The sequence below is a fragment of the Homo sapiens genome, chromosome 1, assembly GCF_000001405.40.
Source record: "Homo sapiens chromosome 1, GRCh38.p14 Primary Assembly".
NCBI classification, from domain to species: Eukaryota; Metazoa; Chordata; class Mammalia; order Primates; family Hominidae; genus Homo; species Homo sapiens.
The window spans coordinates 45,042,074-45,061,338 of NC_000001.11; the positions used below are offsets into that span (position 1 = coordinate 45,042,074).

General features: G+C 42.1%; 1 protein-coding gene across 3 annotated transcripts in view; it reads right to left on the reverse strand.

The window, feature by feature from the left end:
• ZSWIM5 (zinc finger SWIM-type containing 5) overlaps positions 1 to 19,265 on the reverse strand; it is a 190,207-nt gene that overhangs the window by 25,675 nt on the left and 145,267 nt on the right. For 2 of the 3 annotated variants that reach the window (NM_020883.2, XM_011541861.4), the window contains exons 3-6: positions 18,026 to 18,174; positions 16,536 to 16,686; positions 9,001 to 9,180; positions 1,146 to 1,322 (exon numbers count right to left, since the gene is read on the reverse strand). In NM_020883.2, coding sequence (NP_065934.1) covers positions 1,146 to 1,322; positions 9,001 to 9,180; positions 16,536 to 16,686; positions 18,026 to 18,174 — 657 coding nt within the window. The remainder of the gene's footprint in view (positions 1 to 1,145; positions 1,323 to 9,000; positions 9,181 to 16,535; positions 16,687 to 18,025; positions 18,175 to 19,265) is intronic. The other variant, XM_047426192.1, reaches the window with a different exon arrangement.

Consider the following 19,265-nt stretch of genomic DNA (forward strand, 5'->3'; position numbering starts at 1 on the left):
TGCTGTAATGAGCCCCTTAGCTATATGCATATCCTTAGTTAATTATGGCTCAGGATAAATTCCTACATGTAGAATTCCTGGATCACATGGGATGAACATATTTTAAGGCTTTTGATAAGAAGAAATACCCTTCAGAAAGACTAAGTATTTACACTCCTATAAGTAGTAAATGAGAGTACCTAGCTCCATGTAACCTCTCCCACACCAGAAACTAATTATCTTAATTAAAAACACCTGACCATTTGAAAATCAAAAAATGCTCAGTGTTGTTTTAATTTGCATCTTTGTTAATGAGATGTATATTCTTTCACATGCTTATTAGATTTACGTTTCAGAAGTGCTGGATCACAGGAGAAGAAAGATGATCAGAGGAAACTTCAGGTGGTGACACGGTGAGTCTGGCTATTGCTTTCAAGAGAGAGAGGGGCATATCTAGATTCAGCAAAATCTTGAGCAAGACAAAGATATGGTGTGAGAGATGGAGGCAGGGAATTGGGAGAAGACAATGAAAATGTATGTCATTGCTGTAAGGCTTGGAAAATGAATATTTTAAAAAGAATGTCTCTTTTGAAATGGGTATCCTTTGATAAAGTCAGGGACAGGTTGATTGAGGGAAAGCCAGGAAACTATTTCAGAGGAGGGTTTAAACTCACAATGAAACAGCTCTATCCTGTTATCATGAACGAAGGTAGGAAGGTGGGGAGGAGAAAAGGAAGACTGCTTGGTGACAAATGCAGATTGTGTCTACTTACTAGCATAGGAGATTTTAAAAAATTCAAATTAGTGCTTTTTTAACAAAACATGTAATTTCAGAGTAGACTATAATGTTGCTCAATAACTCAGAGAAGCTGTGAACTGAGGCCTAATTGCTTTGTTAATGCTCTTTGAGATGCATTAACTCCTTTCACCCCCTCAAAACTTAGAGGACAGGATGCAAATTCTTATTTGAGGTTGCTGTATCACAACTGAGTATACATGCAAATGGCTTAGGCTTCACATAAATATCCCTAATAAAAGCCCCAAAATATCTGTGTGAAAACTGTCCAAATTGTAGTTTGAGTTGCAGGTACGTATGAAGATGGCTCATTTGGGCCTGGCATGAAGTGAGGGTGGCTCTAAAGTTCTTAGAGGAGGGCTAGACTTACCAAGCCACAGTGGCTGGCCTTGGGAATTAAAGAGTAGTCTTTCACTTTCCCGCTGGCAGGCAGGAGCTGTATAAACATCACTGCTGATTATTCGCTGTAGGTGGCTATCCTGCCAATGTAATTCACGCCCCTCAATGGCTCTAGTGAATACTGTTCGTCTTGGTCTGGATAAGGAGTCTGGAGAAAGAAGAACATGCAGCAGTACAGTGACAGGCAATTTGAAGTTTTAAGCCCTGGGTCTTCTTCAGGGTGGGAGGTTGGCTGAATAATAGTATTTTAAAAGAATAACTCTGGCAGCAGTATTGAGAACAGGTTATAAGGAAGGGCAATGAGAGCAGCCACTTGCAATCTCTCTGAGTATCTGTTGTGTTGCCTCCTTCTTGGATAAGCTTTCAGTGTGTGTGTGCTCTTTATAGGAATAACCTTCCCACAGAGATCTATGGCTTACTTCCTCCTTCTACAGAAGACTAATTTCTCCTGAGATCCAGAAGCTACATGAAATAGAAGAGGAGTAGTGGTGCTTAGCCACTCAGTCATGAAGACACAAACTGCTTCTATCAAGGTCAAAGGTAGAGAGAAGAAGCTAGGTAATATCCCTGGCCAATCTGTAACTTGTTTCATACTAACTTTCCCTTATCAGACCAAGGACTTTCATGAAATTCATATTAAGAGTTGAAATAGAGCTGAAGCTATGGTGGCTCCTGCCTGTAATCCCAGAACTTTGGGTGGCTAAAGTGGGAGGATCACTTGAGGCCAGGAGTTCAAGACCAGCCTGGGCAACATAGCAAGACACTGTCTCTACAAAAAATAAAAATTTAAAAATTAGCCCAGCATGGTGGCACATGCCTGTAGTCCTAGCTACTTGGGAGGCTAAGGCAGGAGGACCACTTGAACTCAGGAGGTAGAGGCTGCAGTGAGCCAAGATTACACCACTGCACTCTAGCCTGGGTGACAGAGCAAAATCCCATCTCAAAAAAAAAAAAAAGAGAGAGAGAGAAAGAGCTGAAGCTCTGTATATTCAGGTACCTTTATTACACTGATATCTGCAGGCTTACAGTCTTCTTTCCCAATAAGAAAAAACTGATGAGGCCAGGTGTGATGACTCGCACCTGTTATCCCAGCACTTTGGAAGGCTGAGGCTGGCGGATTGTTTGAGTCCAGGAGTTTGAGACCAGTCTGGGGAATGTGGTGAAACCCGCTCTCTACAAAAAATATAAAAATTGGGCCGGGTGCGGTGGCTCACGCCTGTAATCCCAGAGCTTTGGGAGGCTGAGGTGGGCGGATCATGAGGTCAGGAGATCGAGACCATCCTGACCAACATGGTGAAACTCCGTCTCTACTAAAAATACAAAAAAATTAGCCGGGCATGGTGGCGGGCGCCTGTAGTCCCAGCTACTCTGGAGGCTGAGGTGGGAGAATGGCGTGAACCCGGAAGGCGGAGCTTGCAGTGAGCCGAGATCGCGCCACTGCACTCCAGCCTGGGCGACAGAGCCAGACTCCGTCTCAAAAAAAAAAAAAAAAAAAAAAAATATATATATATATATATATATATATATAAATATATATATATAAATATATATATATAAATATATATATATATATAAATATATATATATAAATATATATATATAGATTAGCCGGGCATGGTGGCGTGGCCTGTATTCCCAGCTATTCAGAGGGGCTGAGTCAGGAGGATCACTTGAGCCCAGGAGGTTGAGGCCACAGTGAGCCGAGATCATGCCACTGGTCTCCAGCCTGAGTAACAAAGCAAGATCATGCCTCAGAAAAAAGAAAAAGAAAAAACTGATGCTAATAAAAGACAAACTTGTTTTCTCACTGGAGTCTTATCTTACCATGCCATCTCCCTTCAGGAAAAGGGCTGCAGGGAAACCAAAACTGCAGACAAAAATGTAGGCTCAACTCTTAAGGGTGGTATGTAGGAGGACCAAATGGAAGATATCTTGCCACAAACCACAGACTTAGGGAGGATCATGGAAATGATATTTAAGGTAATAAGAAACCATGAGGGAGTCATTTAACTGATGCTTTGCCAGATTAATGGCAATTTAAACTATTTTGGGATCAAGAACTGAAGTATTATACTGTACGGACATTTCCAGAGATGCCCAAATGAGGTGTGTACCTACTGATTCTGTGCAAAAAAATTATGAGGGAATGTCAGAGAATTCATACTGAATATGAAAGAACTTAACATATTCAACCATTCGGGAAAAGTCCTTGGAATCTGGTCATTTCTTTAGAATTTAATACATCCCATTGGGTACAGGCTCAGATGGTTGAAGGATATTATCATTAGAGTAGCACTGACAGTATTTACTGAAATTGCTTCTCCTTCATGTTGTCCCTCACAGAAAGCACAATGACTCTTCTACTGGCTGGAATCTAAGCTCCTCTACTGCTGAACTGAGAATCCACCGGTCTGCTCAACCCACAGTGGGTACTGGGCTCCCAATATATTTTTAAATTGATTAAATCAGCAAATAATTTCTGCCTACTATACAGTAGGTACTGTTCTTAGTGTTTAGGACATACAAAGTTCCTGTCTTTATGGACCTTTACATTCAACTAGGGAGAGACAGTTAAGTAAATATATAGTATATCAGATATGTCGTACAGTTAAGAGTGCTATGAAAAAGTATAAAGCAGAGTTAGGGAGAAAAGCAAGCTGGTGTTAGGCAGGGGGTTATTGTTTTATTCATATATAGAATGGTCTCCAGGCAAAAGGAACCGCAAGCACTAAGTCCTAAGGTAGAAGTATATTTGGAGTGTTTGAGAAGAGTGAGGAGGCCAGTATAGTTGGATGGAATGAGCAAGCAGGAGAATCACAGGAGATGAGGTCAGAGACATATTAGAGAACTAGATCATGGAGGGCCATGTAGACCATGAGAAAAAGATGACTTTGGGTTTTTGAGAAAGATGAGAGGCCACTGAAGAGCTTTGAGCTGTGAAGGTATATGATGGGACTTGCATTTTAAAAGGATAACTCTGGCAGCAGTACTGAGAATAGGTTATAAGGTGGAAGGGCAGAAGAAGAGGGAGAAGTCAGGTGGGCACTACAATAATTTTTGAGAGATGATGGTAGTTGGCAGAGAAATAAAGAGTGGAGATGATGAGCAGTAGTTGGATTCTGGATATATTTCAAAGATAAAGGCAATATATTGGATTTGCTCATGGATTACAGCTGGGGTGAGAGAGAGTAAAGAATTAAGAATGACTCCAAGGTTTTTAAGAGAGTTGCCATATATGGAGACAGGAAGACTGCAAGAGGAGCAGGTTTGCGTGGGGCTTGAGGGGTAGGAATCCTACTGAGATGCCTGTTAACAGATAAATGGAGATATCAAAAAGGCAGTTAAATATACATATCTAGAGTTGAGAGGAAAGGTCTGGGCAAGATATGTGTGTGTGTGTGTGTGTGTGTGTGTGTATACACATATATGAGCTGTTAGTATGTAAATGATTACTAAAACAATGCAATCAACAAAGAAGTATAGAAAGAGAGGTGGTAGCCAGGCGCGGTGGCTCATTCCTGTAATCCCAGCACTTTGAGAGGCAGAGGTGAGCGGATCAGAAGGTCAAGAGTTCGAGACCAGCCAGGCTAACATAGTGAAACCCCATCTCTACTGAAAATACAAAAATTAGTCAGGCGTGGTGGTGGGCACCTGTAATCCCAGCTACTCGGGAGGCTGAGGCAGGAGAATCGCTTGAACCTGGGAGGCAGAGGTTGTGGTGAGCCAAGACCACACCAGTGCACTCCAGCCTGGGCAACGAACTCTGTCTCAAAAAAAAAAAAAAAAAAAAAGAAAGAGAGGTGGTCTGATGACAGATCCCTGGGCACTATGGCATTTTAGATTGGGAAATGGGGTAGAGACAGTAAAGACACTTCGAAGGAACGGTCAATGAACTGAGAACCGAGAGAGAATGGTTTCTTGGAAGTCAAATGACAAAGTTTCAAGGAGAGTGTGACTAATGTGTCAAATACTGCGGATAGGTCAAGTATCAGTTGAGAACAACTACTAGATTTAGCAACAGTTAGCATTAGTAACAACTACTAGATTTAGCAACAGTTAGCATAAGTAACCGGTACAAGAGCTGTTTCAGTAATGGTAGGGATTGAAAGCCTGACTTGGAGTGAATTCAAGGGAGACTAAGAACAGAAGAAATGGAGATGGCAAATCTGTACTATTCTTTTTAATGATTTTTCCTAACTCTACCACCCATTTCTACCACCCAGAGAGGCACGTGGAGTCATGAGAGTGTTTTTTGTTTTGTTTTGGTATGGGAAATATAACAATATGCTTGTACACTCAAGAATAATTCATGGAGAGTGAAAAATTGGAGATGCAGGAGAGAGAGGAAATAATTTCTTGTTAATTCCTAGAGTGATGTCCTAGATAAAAGTGATGTAATAGGATCTTGAGAACAACTGGAGGGCTTGGATTTAGAAGCATAGACTGCAACAGGGGAAGAGGCAGAGTAGATGGGCAAAGACAGTAATTCTCTGACCTTCTAGAACAGTATTTCTTTTGACCCATCACCACCAGATGTGGTGGTGGAGTTTTGGAAATTCTCTTCTGATTGCTTCTTTATTTTTAGTAAACAGGAAGCAAGCCTCAGTTGAAACTGAGGAAGGAGAGGAAGTACAGAAAATTTTAGGAAAAAGATGGTGTGAAATAGTAATTTATAAGAGTGAAAGATGGCACAGACTAGGGAAATGTACTAGATGTCTAGAAAGTACTGAGGACCCACTTGAAATGAGTGGTCATAAACTTAAAATAAGACCAGTTATTATGGTTGTTTCTTTCTTTCTTTCTTTCTTTCTTTCTTTCTTTCCTTTTCTTTTCTCTTTTTTTTTTTTTTTTTTTGAGACAGGGTCTCATTTTGTTGCCCAGGCTGGAGTGCAGTGGCATGACCGTGGCTCATTGAAGCCTTGACCTCCTGGGCTCAAGCAATCCACGATACCTGGCTAATTTTTGTATTTTTTGTAGAGACAGGATTTCACCATGTTGCCCAGGCTGGTCTCGAACTCCTGAGTTCAAGGGTTCTGCCAGCCTTGGTCTCCCAAAGTACTGGGATTATAGGCAGGAACCACTGTGCCCGGCATGGTTGTTTCTCTCCAGCCATATTCAGCTGTGCAAGTGTACCAAGTAATTAGAGCTGGAATGAACTAAGTTTAGAGTTTTTCCATCAGTGTATCAAAGACAAAGAGGGAGTTAAGTGTGTATGCAAAGGAGTGATTGTAATGAGTTACCAAGGACTCTAACGTGGATGAGGAGGAAAATGAGGCTATCAGAGTGAAAACACATTTTGTCTTACACAGTAAGACAAAAATTCCTAGTGGGTAAAAGAATTATTGAAACTGGGATACTAAAGAAAAGAAGCTAGCAAGATTGATGGTGGTAACTGGTGATGCATGAAATTGAGATTATGAAGAGGGTGTAGTTTTTGGTAATGTCAAGGTTTAGGGTATGATTTTGAGGTTGAATGGCTAAGTTATGGTAGAGGATGAGACTACTGGAAAAGAGGAGATCAAATAATTGAGAGGCCAGGGTATTGGAAGGGTCATCTATGTGGCTACTGAAGTCATCAAGAATTATGATAGGAATCAGCATGGTGGCTCATGCCTATAATCCCAGCACTTTGGGAGGCCAAGGCAGGAGGATTGCTTCAGCTCAGGAGTTCGAGACTAGCCTGGGCAACATGACGAAACCCTGTCTCTACAAAAAATACACTCACAAAAAATATTTGGCTGTGAGTGGTGGCTTGCGCCTGTAGTCCCAACTACTCGGGAGGCTGAGATGGGAGGATCACTGAAGCCTGGGAGACAGAAGTTGCAGTGAGACGAGATCACGCCACTTCACTCTAGCGTGGGTGACACAGTGAGACCCAGTCTCAAAAAAAGAAATTAAAAAAAGAATTATGATCAGAATAGTGATAGAAAGTAGTATTACTAAGCCAATAGCTAAAAATCTTCAAGGACTGAGAGGGATTGACCCAGAGGTCTACAGATGACAAAAACCAGGATGGTGGCAGACAGTATAGTTTGATGGCAGAAACTTAAACCTGGGGGTATTTTAAGAAGGTAGGAAGAATTATGTAGAAATGACTATGAAGAATAGGCAGGAATCAACTGCTTCTCCAGCCCCAAAGGTAAAGGGATGTGAGAGAGGTATCAATCACATCCTGATTGATGTCATTGATATCAATCTGAGAAGGCTTTAGAAGCAGCAACATCTTCAAAGGAGAGCTAACAACAACAAAGAACCAATATATTATGACAAGGAAGAAACTGCCAGACCAGGCTGGTCGCGGTGGCTCATGCCTGTAATACTAGCACTTTGGGAGGCCAAGACGGGCAGATCACTTGAGGAGTTTGACACCAGCCTGGCCAATATGGTGAAACCCTGTATCTACTAAATATACAAAAATTAGCCAGGTGTGGTGGCCCACGCCTGTAGTCCCAACTACTCGGGAAGCTGAGGCAGCAGAATTGCTTGAACCTGGGAGGCAGAGGTTGCAGTGAGCCGAGATCGCAGTACTGCACTCCAGCCTGGGCAACAGAACAAAGCATGTGTTTGTATGCATTTGACCCTCTCTATGCTATCCAAAGCCACTATCAAAGAGATGGCTTCCTGTGTTGTGGAAGCTAGATGAATGCCAGGAAAGGGTAAAGAAGTGGCAAAATTGTAGCCTTTACCTCTTTCATTACCTTAGTTGTCTTAAATATACTGACAACTAATTATGGTACAGAATAAGACCAAACAAAAACAAAAATTTTCATGATTTCCTCCTTGAGACTGAAAATACCAATAGAGTTATTTGAAATAAAAGGAACTGCCAGGCGCAGTGGCTCATGCCTGTAATCCCAGCATTCTGAGAGGCTGACGGTGGGCAGATCACCTGGGGTCAGGAGTTCAAGACCAGGCTGGCCAACATGGCAAAACCCCATCTCTACTAAAAATACAAAAATTAGCCGGGCGTGGTGGCTCTCACACCTGAAATCCCAGCTACTCGGGAGGCTGAGGCATGAGAATTGCTTGAACCCTGGAGGCAGAGGTTGCAGTGAGCCAAGATCGCGCCACTGCACTCCAGCCTGGGGGATAGAGTGAGACCTTGTCTCCAAATAAAATAAAATAAAAGGAACCAATTGTAAAATCAGTGTCTGATAAAATCTTCTACCAATAAAGGCTCTCAATAGGCTAAAGAATAATCAATTGACAACATCAAATAGACTGAATTAGTTGAACTAAAACTGATACGAATGCTGATGTCAAGTGATGTCTGTAGGCGAGTGGGCTCAAAGGGTGGAGGGTATGGTATCACTGTACTGGATGTGTCTTAAAATGGGGCAGGAATCCTACCAATAATATGGGAGGATGATCCCACCCAGCTATTTGCTGTATAAAAATTTGAGGAAAACAGAAGTAAGAAAAGCTATGGTCAGGACACTTTTTAAAATTGCTTCTTACAGGTCTTTTGTTCCTCCCCTAAGTTAGGTCTCAGCTAAAACCAACCCCAACTGAAGCCAAGATATTTAATACATTAGACATGAAGAACCAGAAGAGTAGACCAGGAGTCACGCAGAGGCTCTAGGACATTATGCTGGGCACTGTAAGGACACTCTAGATGTGGAAAAGGACAGCAACTCAATGTCAAAGATAAAAGCTTATCCTTACTTAAGGTTCGGCATTTCAAGATGAATAAAAACACAGGCTTTTCTTATTTAGAATGGCAATTCTGACAGCTAAAAGGCTATCCAGCTACCATTGTTCTAGGGTTTACCCTCCCACCTTTTGAAGTTCCAGGTACAAAGAGCCTAAAAGGACACTTGGCTCACCTGGGCTGTGAATGGCACTCTGGGGAAGTGCATTGGTGATGTTGGGCAGCTCATGTCCATAGTTTCCATCCTCCAGGGGACAGACATCCAGGTCGCTCCACTTCTGCAGCTGCTGCAGCCAGCAGGATTTCTCCTCCAGTTTGCAGTGTGGATTTAAAATTATGCACACCCATAAAGCCCCTGGAAAATAAAGCAACCCATATTCTTAACATCTCTCCTTTGATGTGTGTGTAAGCCTTAATGTTTCAGTTTCATTTTTAGATGGTAGAGAAAGTTTCCAAAGCATTATCTTTTCTTAATATAAAAAACTTGCTAAGATTTTCAGAACTGGCTTGTTTTTCCTTCCCAACACTTCCTTAAAGTAGAGTGACTATCTTATTTCAATCTGTGTGCCTGTGATATAAAGACAGATTTAGGCTTGAACTCTGAGCTCAAATCTGCAGTGTAATAAATATTTATTAAGAGCCTCCTATGTTAAGGCTCTGTGCTGGTGAATAAAGCAGACACTGTTCCTACCCTTGAGGAACTGTCTAGTGAGGGAGACAGATAAATAAACATAATTCCATTTGAATATGATAAGTATTAAGATAAAGATATGTTCAGGGTATGAAAGCAGCATAGAGGAAGGGCATTTAACACAAGGACATGGTTGGAAGCGAGGAAGTCAGAAAAGGTTTTATTTTTTTGCTTAGCTGAACTTCCTGAGCTTCATCAAATCATTCAATTGTAAAACTGAGATCATAAAAATACCTACTTTGTAGGGATATTGTGAGAATTTAATGAGATAACCTTTGTAAAGGGTCTAGCATATTACCTAGCACATAGTAGAATCTTGGTATTTGCTTATCCAAGAAAAATAATTTATTTGGACTTGGATTTTCAAACTGCTGATAACTTGTGATGCCTTAAAACCATTACTTTCTTGGGATTTTTTTTTTTTTTTGAGACAAAGTCTCGCTCTTGCCCCCCAAGCTGGAGTGAGATGGGGCGATCTTGGCTCACTGCTGCAACCTCCACCTCCTGAGTTCAAGCAATTCTCCAGCCTCAGCGCCCCCCCTCGCACCCCACCCCCAACCCTAGTAGCTGGGATTACAGGCATCCGCCACCATGCCCGGCTAATTTTTGTATTTTTAGTAGAGATGAGGTTTCACCATGTCGGCTAGGTTTGTTTAGAACTCCTGACCTCAGGTGATCCACTCGCCTTGGCCTCCCAAAGTGCTGGGATTACAGGCGTGAGCCACCATGGCTGGCTGCAGTATGTCTTAATATAAACATCCTTTAGGATGTAGTTACATCCATGGATAGAAGTACATTTGGACACTATTTCAAAGCCTCTCAAAGCCAAATAGGAATGTTTTGAAAAGCCATCTTAGCCTCAATTTCAGATATTAATTGAAGATGAAAATTAATTTCTGGCTGGGTGCTGTGGCTCACACTTATAATCCCAGCACTTTGGCAGGCCAAGGAGGGCAGATCACTTGAGCTCAGGAGTTTGAGACCAGCCTGGGCAACATGGTGAAACCCTGTCTCTCCCAAAAATACAAAAAATTAGCTGGGCATGGTGGTATGCACCCAGCTGGTCCCAGCTACTCAGGAGGCTGAGGTGGGAGGATTGTTTGAGCCCAGGAGGTGGAAGTTACAGTGAGCCGAGATCACACCACTGCACTCCAGCATGGGTGATGGGAAAAAAAAAAAAGAAAAAACCCTCATTTCTATTTTTTCAATTCAATTTTTTAAATGTACCATGAAAAAGAAACTATATTATGTGTTGGGTGCAGTGGCTCACTCCTGTAATCCTAGCCCTGTGGGAGGCTGAGGTGGGCGGATCACCTGAGGTCGGGAGTTCAAGACCAGCCTGACTGCCATGGAGAAACCCCGTCTCTACTAAAAATACAAAAAATTAGCCAGGTGTGTTGGTGCATGCCTGTAATCCCAGCTACTTGGGAGGCTGTGGTAGGAGAATCGGTTGAATCTGGGAGGCGGAGGTTGCAGTGAGCTGAGATCCCGCCATTGCACTCAAGCCTGAGCAACAAGAGTGAAACTCCGTCTCAAACAAAAAAAAAAAAAAAAAGAAAAAAGGAACTGATACTTACAACAGTGACTCTTTAGGGGATTATAGTAACATTTATTTTACAGTTTAAGAAGGGCTTTTCATCTATAGTGTAGAAACAGATTTTCATATTTAATCTTCACAGGTAAAAAAGAGGACCAAAAAAAGAAGCTACTAAATCTGGCAACTTCAGAAGAACTCTGGTGACCTTAGGAATGGCAAAATCAATAGGATAATAGGAATGGAAAACAGATTAGGTGAGATGAGAGGCTTAAGAGGTAAAGAAACAGGGTGCTAATTCTAGTCCTGGAGGAGTTCCAATTTCCTAGGCATTTTGATATTAAGAAGGGGATCCTGGCCGGGTGCGGTGGCTCATTCCTGTAATCCCAGTGCTTTGGGAGGCGGAGGCAGGTGGATTGCTTGAGGTCAGGAGTTCGAGACCAGCCTGGCCAACATGGTGAAACCCCATCTCTACTAAAAATACAAAAAATTAGCCAGGCATCATAGTGTGTGCCTATAATCCCAGTTACTCAGGTGGCCAAGGCAAGAGAATCTCTTGAGTCCAGGAGGCAAAGGTTGCAGTGAGCCAAGATTGAACTACTGCACTCCAGCCTGGGCGACAGAGCGAGACTCTGTTTCAAAAAAAAAAAAAAAAAAAAAGGATCCCTAGAAAGTGAGCACAAGTACTTTCACCTATAAGTTACAAATGAGTTTTCTGTCTTATTAATTACATCCTTATAAATTTGTTTCAATACAATTACAACCCTGAGAAAGAGACAAAGCAAAAAATCCTACTAGTTGCCTGTATAAAACATCACTCACAAGACTGTTATCAGTATCCAGAAGCATATTTTCCTACAACTTAAAAAAAAGTGTTGGCTTGGTACAGTGTCTCATGCTTGTAATACCAGTGCTTGGGGAGGCTGAGGTGGAGGATCACAAAGCCAGGAGTTTGAGATCAGCCTGGGCAACATAGTGAGACCCTACCTCTACAAAAAATTAGAATTGGCTGAGTGTGATAGCCTCTGCCTGTAATCCCAGCTACTTGGGAGGCTGAGGTGGAAGTATTTCTTGATCCCAGGAGTTTGAGTTGCAGTGAGTTATGATCACACCACTGTATTCCAGCCTAGGGGACAGTGAGATCCTGTCTCAAAGTAAATCAATAAAAATAAATTTGGCCTGGGCGTGGTGGCTCATGTCTATGGTCCCAGCACTTTGGGAGGCCGAGGCAGGTGGATCACTTGAGGTCAGGAGTTTGAGACCAGCCTGGCCAACATGGTGAAACCCTGTCTCTACAAAAGTAGAAAAATTAGCCGGGCGTGGTGGTGCGCGCCTGTAGTCTCAGCTACTTGGGAGGCTGAGGCAGAAGAATTGAGTGAACCCAGGAGGCAGAGGTTGCAGTGAGCTGAGATCGCACCACTGCACTCCAGACTGGGCAACAGAGTGAGACACTTTCTCAAAAAACAACAACAAAAAATTTTAAAAGTATCAAAAACTCAAAGCAAAGGTAGCTACTATGGAAATTAAAATTTTACGTAATTATTAAATATTAAATATAATAAAATAATAGCTATCACTGATTTCTTTTCATCAGCTAGGAATTAAGGTGTTAAGCACTTTATCTCATTCAGTCCTCTAACTCTGAGGATCAACAGGTCTTGGTTTGGATGTAAAAGAAAATAGGGAATCAAGGATAACCCTTAAATTTTCTTCTTGAGCAATGATGGAGTCTCGCTCTGTCACCGAGGCTGGAGTGCAGTGGCATGATCTCAGCTCACTGCAATGTCTGCCTCCCAGGTTCAAGCGATTCTCCTGCCTCAGCCTCCTAAGTAACTGGCATTACAGGCACCTGCCACCATGCCCGGTTAATTTTTTGTATTTTTTTTAAGATGGAGTCTCATTGTGTCGCCTAGGCTGGAGTGCAGTGGCACGGTCTTGGCTCACTGCAAGCTCGCCTCCCGGGTTCATGCCATTCTCCTGCCTCAGCCTCCCGAGTAGCTGGGACTACAGGCGCCCACCACCATGCCTGGCTAATTTTTTGTATTTTTAGTAGAGATGGGGTTTCACCGTGTCAGCCAGGATGGTCTCAATCTCCTGACCTCGTGATCCGCCTGCCTTGGCCTCCCAAAGTGCTGGGATTACAGGTGTGAGCCACTGTGCCCGGCCAGTTTTTTGTATTTTTAGTAGAGACAGGGTTTCACCATGTTGGCCAGGCTTGTCTTGAACCCCTGACCTCAGGTGATCTGCCTGCCTTGTCCTCCCAAAGTGCTAGGATTACAGGCGTGAGAAACCGTGCCTGGCCATTGAGCAACAAGATAATACATCTTGATGCTATATATTGAGATGGCGACAACAAGGGGAAAACAAGGCTTTGGCAGGAAAATTAAGAGTTCTGTGATGTCTGTATTAACTTTGAGATGTTTCTTAGAAGTGATGGGCAGCTGGACACAGCCTGGAGCTCAGGGGAAAGATCAGGGCTAGAGACATACATTTGTGATTTATCTGCATCTGGATAGTATTTAAAGCCATGGGACTGAATATATAATCATTTAGGTAGAGAACGTAAACAGGAAAGTGGATGCTGGGGGGCACTCAATATTTAGAAGGGTTGAGGAAAGGCAGAGAAGTCTGCAAAGGAGACTGAGTGAAAGTCACCAGGAACACAGTGGGGAAACCCAGTGGGTATGCAGTTATGGAAACCAAGAGAAGAGTGTTTCAGAAAGAGTATGGGCATGTGGCTCGTGCCTGTAATCCCAGCACTTTGGGAGATGGAGGCGGTAGAATTGCTTGAGGCTAGGAGTTCAAGACCAGCCTGGGTAACATAGCGAGACCCTGTTGCTACAAAAGGAAGGAAAAATAAAAGAGTATGGTCAAGTATACTGAAAACTGCTAAGCGTTTTGAAGTAAGATAAGAACAGAGAAGTGACTGTTGTATTTAGCAATATGGAAATTATTTGTGATTTCGACAACAGCTACTTCAGGAGACTGGCAGCAATGGGCAATGGAAACCCAACTGGAGTGGGCTCAAGAAAGAATGGAGGGGAGCAAATGGAAAGAGTGACCACAGATAATTTTTTAAAGAAGTGTTATTTCAAAGGGGAGAAGAGAAATGGGTTAATAGTTGGTGAGGACAGTTGGAATATCAAAGGAGTATTTTTTAAAATTTGAGATCAAAGATATTAGAGCAGGTGAGGCACGGTGACTCACGCCTGTAATCTCAACACTTTGGGAGGCCGAGGTGGGTGGATCACCTGAGGTCAGGAGTTTGAGACCAGCCTGGCCAACATGGTGAAACCCCATCTCTACTAAAAATACAAAAATTAGCTGGGCCATGGTGATGCATGCCTGTAGTCCCAGCTACTCAGGGGGCTGGGGCAGAAGAATTGCTTGAACCCAGGAGGCAGAGGTTGCAGTGAGCCAAGACTGTGCCACTGCCAAGACTGCGCCACTGCACTCCATCCTGGGTGACAGAGTGAGACTCTGTCTCAAAAAAAAAAAAAGATATTAGAGCATATTTGTATGCTGATGGAAATGATCCTGTAGAGAGAAAAAAGTTAATAATGCCCAAGCAAAGAAATAATTGTAGGAGCAACATTCTTGAGAAAAGGAGATAGAACAGAACCCAGAGCAAACACGTAAGGGTTGGCCTTTCATGACAGCAGAGATACTTTATGGATTTTAATAGAGGAGAAGGCAAACCATATGGGTAGAGACATAGAAAGCATTAGTAGATTTGTAGGTGGGGAGATGATGAAACTTCATGTGTGATCGGTCCCATTTTCTCTAGTTCAGAAATGGAAAGTAGTGAGCCATTTCTCTCTACATTTGTAGTTCCTACAAACCCTGCCTAGGTTCTCCATAGGTGTATAGGCCTTGTGATCTGTAAGGAGCCCTAAGAATAGCTAGGGGAGCCCTTAGAATAGTTAGGGGAAGCATGAATGCACTGTGTTCTAGTGTCTAACCTAATAAGCCTTCTCTAAGTGCAGTGGTTCTCAAAGTGTGGTCTCTGGATCAGCAGCATCAGCATCCCCTGGGAATTTGTTTGAAATGCAAATTCTCAGGCTCCACTCCAAACCTACTAATTCAGAAACTCGGGATAGGGCCCAGTGATCTGTTTAAACAAGTACTCCAGGTGATTCTGAAAGGTTTGAGAACCACTGTCTTAGCAGAATGCTGAGGGTTTCTTGGATGGTAGGTACAGTAATTTGTTAGATATGAAAATGCCAGAAGCAAGAGTTTTTCATAATGAACCCAAGTATATAACAAGAGTTTCAAAAGCACCAGGAGCCATCTCTACTTACTTCCTCCCAACTACCTTTGTCCCAGAGGTAAAGCCCAAGTTCACAGCACAATCCTGTGACTGGTTCAGAAATTAAGACATTCAGGCCTCAGATGAAACTGACTCTCCCAAGGCTAACTTCAAGTTCTTAAGGAACATGCACTTTGAAGAAATAAAAGGACTTAAGATAGAATTGAGGGAGATGTTACAGAGGGATATTTGATTTAAAGTCAGACAGATTGGGCTTCCAGTGTTAGAGCCAAAACTTACTAGTGTGTGACCCTGAGTTCAGGGTATGGAAGATTCTGAAAGCAGGGCAAGAAGTATTAGCATTGCAAAACTGGTCTTAGAGCAAGGGAATGCTAAAGAGAAATGATGGCCACAGAGGACTGCCTTGATGAGGGAGAACCTAGAACAGTGAGGCCATTAGAAGGTCACAGTTCTAATCTAATCTAAAAGTTTCACGGGGGAATGGACACTACATTGCATTTTAAAGGTTGAGAAATCAAATAAAGTTGGTCACTGGATGTAGGGAATGAAAGAAAAATGAGTGCTTAGCAATAAGTTTGGTAAAGTAAGGAATGGTGGTGCCAATGCCAGTCACAAGAGCCTTTTTTTGTAGGAGAAAGCCCAAGTTCATTTTTGATTTCTCATTGGAAATGGTCAGTGGACATCTACTCATGTGGGACTATAACTCAGATGAGTAGAAAGAATATAAAGGTGAAATGACCATATAAGTAAGCTCTGAAGCTATGATATTTTAAAAAAAGTTATCAAGGGAATATAATGAAGGAAGAATAGAAGGTTAAGTCCAAGTATTGGAAACTGCCCTACGTCTTAAAGGTCTGGCTGGGAGTGATACAGAACAGCAGACTCGGGAAAAGCAACAAAAGTGAGGCTGATAAGTATTTGGAGAGCCAGGTTACTGCCATGAAACAGAAGACAAGCAAAGAGGTTTTCTCTCAACAAAGGTTTCCACTTGTTAACATCTGGAACAGAATGCTTGATGTCAATAGCAAAGCACAATGCTGTGGAAGCAACAAAAGTGAGTTCAGTGTTACTCTGGGTGGCCTCTGTAGAACCTAAGTCTTCTACCAGCTGGACTTAGCAAGATCCATGCAACGACTGATGGCAAGGGCTCATAAACACTGTTGCCACAGGGCAAGATGGTAGAACAAAGCACTTCTCTGAATGATGGGAACTTACCTAGCTCATCCCAGAGCTGCCTGCACTTGTCTGTCATGTTTGTTCCTTGCTGCCTCCAGAGTGTGAGTCGTGGGTCAGCCACAAACTGCTCAGTTATTAGTGTCAGCATCCTTGCTCCATTGGAATCTCTCATCCGCAGCATTTCTCGAACCTGACACATAAGAAGTGGCAAGGGATTGGTGATTGTGTATCACAAAAAAGTAGGAGGAGAAGGAAGTGGGGGAGGGGGAAGTGAAGATGAAGTATCTGAGTACACCATATCCAAAAGAGCCAGAAAGAAGGCCTCTTGTTCTGTAAGCAAGATCTCTGCATGTACCAAGAAAGCCTGATGTTCACAATAAGATACCACTTCACACCCACTAGGATGGCTAGAATTAAAAAGTCAGATAACAAGTGTTGGACAGGATGTAAAGAAATTGACACATCATACACTGTTGGTAGGAACGTAAAATGATGCAGCCACCTTGGAAAACAGACTGGCAGTTCTTCAAATGATTAAGCATAGAGTTACCATATGACCCATCAATTCCACTCCAAGAAAGAAATGAAAATATATGTCCACATAGAACCTTATACAAGAATGTTTATAGCAGCACTATTCATAATAGCCAAAAGGTAGAAACAACTCAAATGTTCACTAACAGATGAATGGATAAATAAAACGTAGGGTATCCACATTTTGAACAATAAATCCACATTTATTGTTCAGACATAAAAAGGAATGAAGTACTGATTCATGCTATGACACTGATGAATCTTAAAAACATTATGCTGAGTGAAGGAAGCCAATCATAAAAGACTACATACTATATGAATGATTCCATTCATATGAAAGTCCAGAATAGGGAAATCTATAGAGACAGAAAGTAGATTAGTGGTTTCTTAGGGCTGAGGGAGGGAGACATAGAGGACAAGGGAGGGATAGGTAAGGGTATAGGGTTTCTTTTTGAGGTGATGAAAATGTCCTAAAGTTGATTGTGGTGATGGTTGCATATAACTATGAATATACTAAAAACCACTGAACTGAATTTTAACACTTTAAATGGGTGAATTGTATAGTATATGAATTATATCTCACTGAAGGTATTAAGGGGAAAAAAAAGAAAAGAAAAACAGCCTGCTGTGAGAGCCCCTAGTTTCAAAATATTAAGTGTCTTTAGGAACAATGTTGAAACTCTAGTCTTCAGGCTTCATCAGGCAGCACTGGATTAAAAGCAGAGGGAAGGTAGTTTCCTTGCTAAAATGCCCCAGCAATACTAACTCTTTTAGAGAGCAGAGCAGAAGGAACAGGACTACCAGGTTGAGGTGGGAGGCCTCCTTGGATGCAACCTGCTCAGGTCTGGTCAGCCTCTCCCACTAGATTTCAAGTATTCAGTTCAGCTATGTCAAGTGAGCTAGGTATAATGCATGAAGCCTGAAGTGTGGTGTGCCCAGTCTGACTTAAGCTTCTTTTGTCAACAACAAAAGAAAAACACCTTTTCATATCTTACCTTGGCAAACATTGAGTTGAGTTGCTTTCCAGAGCCACAGTAACCGCCCTGGGAGAGAAAAAGCTTCACTTGTTCTTTCACCTGTTCTTCATCCAAATGCCAACAGTTCTCATCGTCAATGCTGGCCCCAGCTGTGGGGTCAGGGGCACCTATGAAGAATGAGAACAGTGAAATGAATCACCTGAGTTCACATGCTACACATTCAGCTGGAGGGGCACTTTGTGAGCATATTCAAACAGAGATGGGTCATTCTGCTTTAATATGGGTTTTGTCAACTGTATAGTCCTAAACAAAATAAATAAATACATAAAATTAATTTTTCAAAAAGCCTAAATTAAAAGATCTAATGCTACTTGCATGTTCACTTAAGTCTCAGTTATAGCTTCATCTAAGATCTACAGATACCACTGTAGGGGAAAAAAGGTTAGAAGAGATATACAATATGCAAATTGTGCATTTTTTTCCCCAGGAGAGTGACATTTTGTTTCTTCTTTTTGCTTTTCTATGAAGTTCAAATATGCCTTACTAGGCACACATTATTTTAAAATAAAAATACATTCTTTGAACATGAAAAGTTCTTTTTGTTTGTTTGAGACAGGGTCTCACTCTGTCACCCAGGCTGCTGGAGTGCAGTAGCGTGATCATGGTTCATGGCAGCCTCGACCTCCCAGGCTCCATCGATCCTTCCACCTCAGCCTCCCAAGTAGGTGGCACCACAGGAGAGGGCCACCATGCCCAACTATTTTAAAACAATTTTTTGTAGAGACAGGGTTTTGCCATGTTTCCCAGGCTGGTCTCAAACTCCTGGGCTCAAGCAATCCTCCCAACTCAGTCTCCCAAAGTACTGGGATTATAGGCCAAAAAAATTCTGTTTTTTTAAAGTTCACTAGAAAATTGTCCCCTAAAGCATAAGTAGAGTTTCATACAGGGTGATATGATTTTATAAATTTATATAAAATATATTTTCATATTGAGCTCACCTTGACAAAACCACTTAAAACATAGTTATAGTTATTTACACATCCCTCTCTCCTAGTAGTCTGTTAACTCCTTACTCACAGTTGAATCCCCAGTTGAATCCAAAGCTGTATCACCTATAGCATAGTGCTGATAATGTGACAAGCACTCTGAAAATGTCTGTGAAATGAAAACTGAATCATCTTTCACTCTCTTATAGACAGAGTGCTGTAACAATTTGTTTTTTAAAAAATTTTAACTGACAAATAATTGTGTGTATATA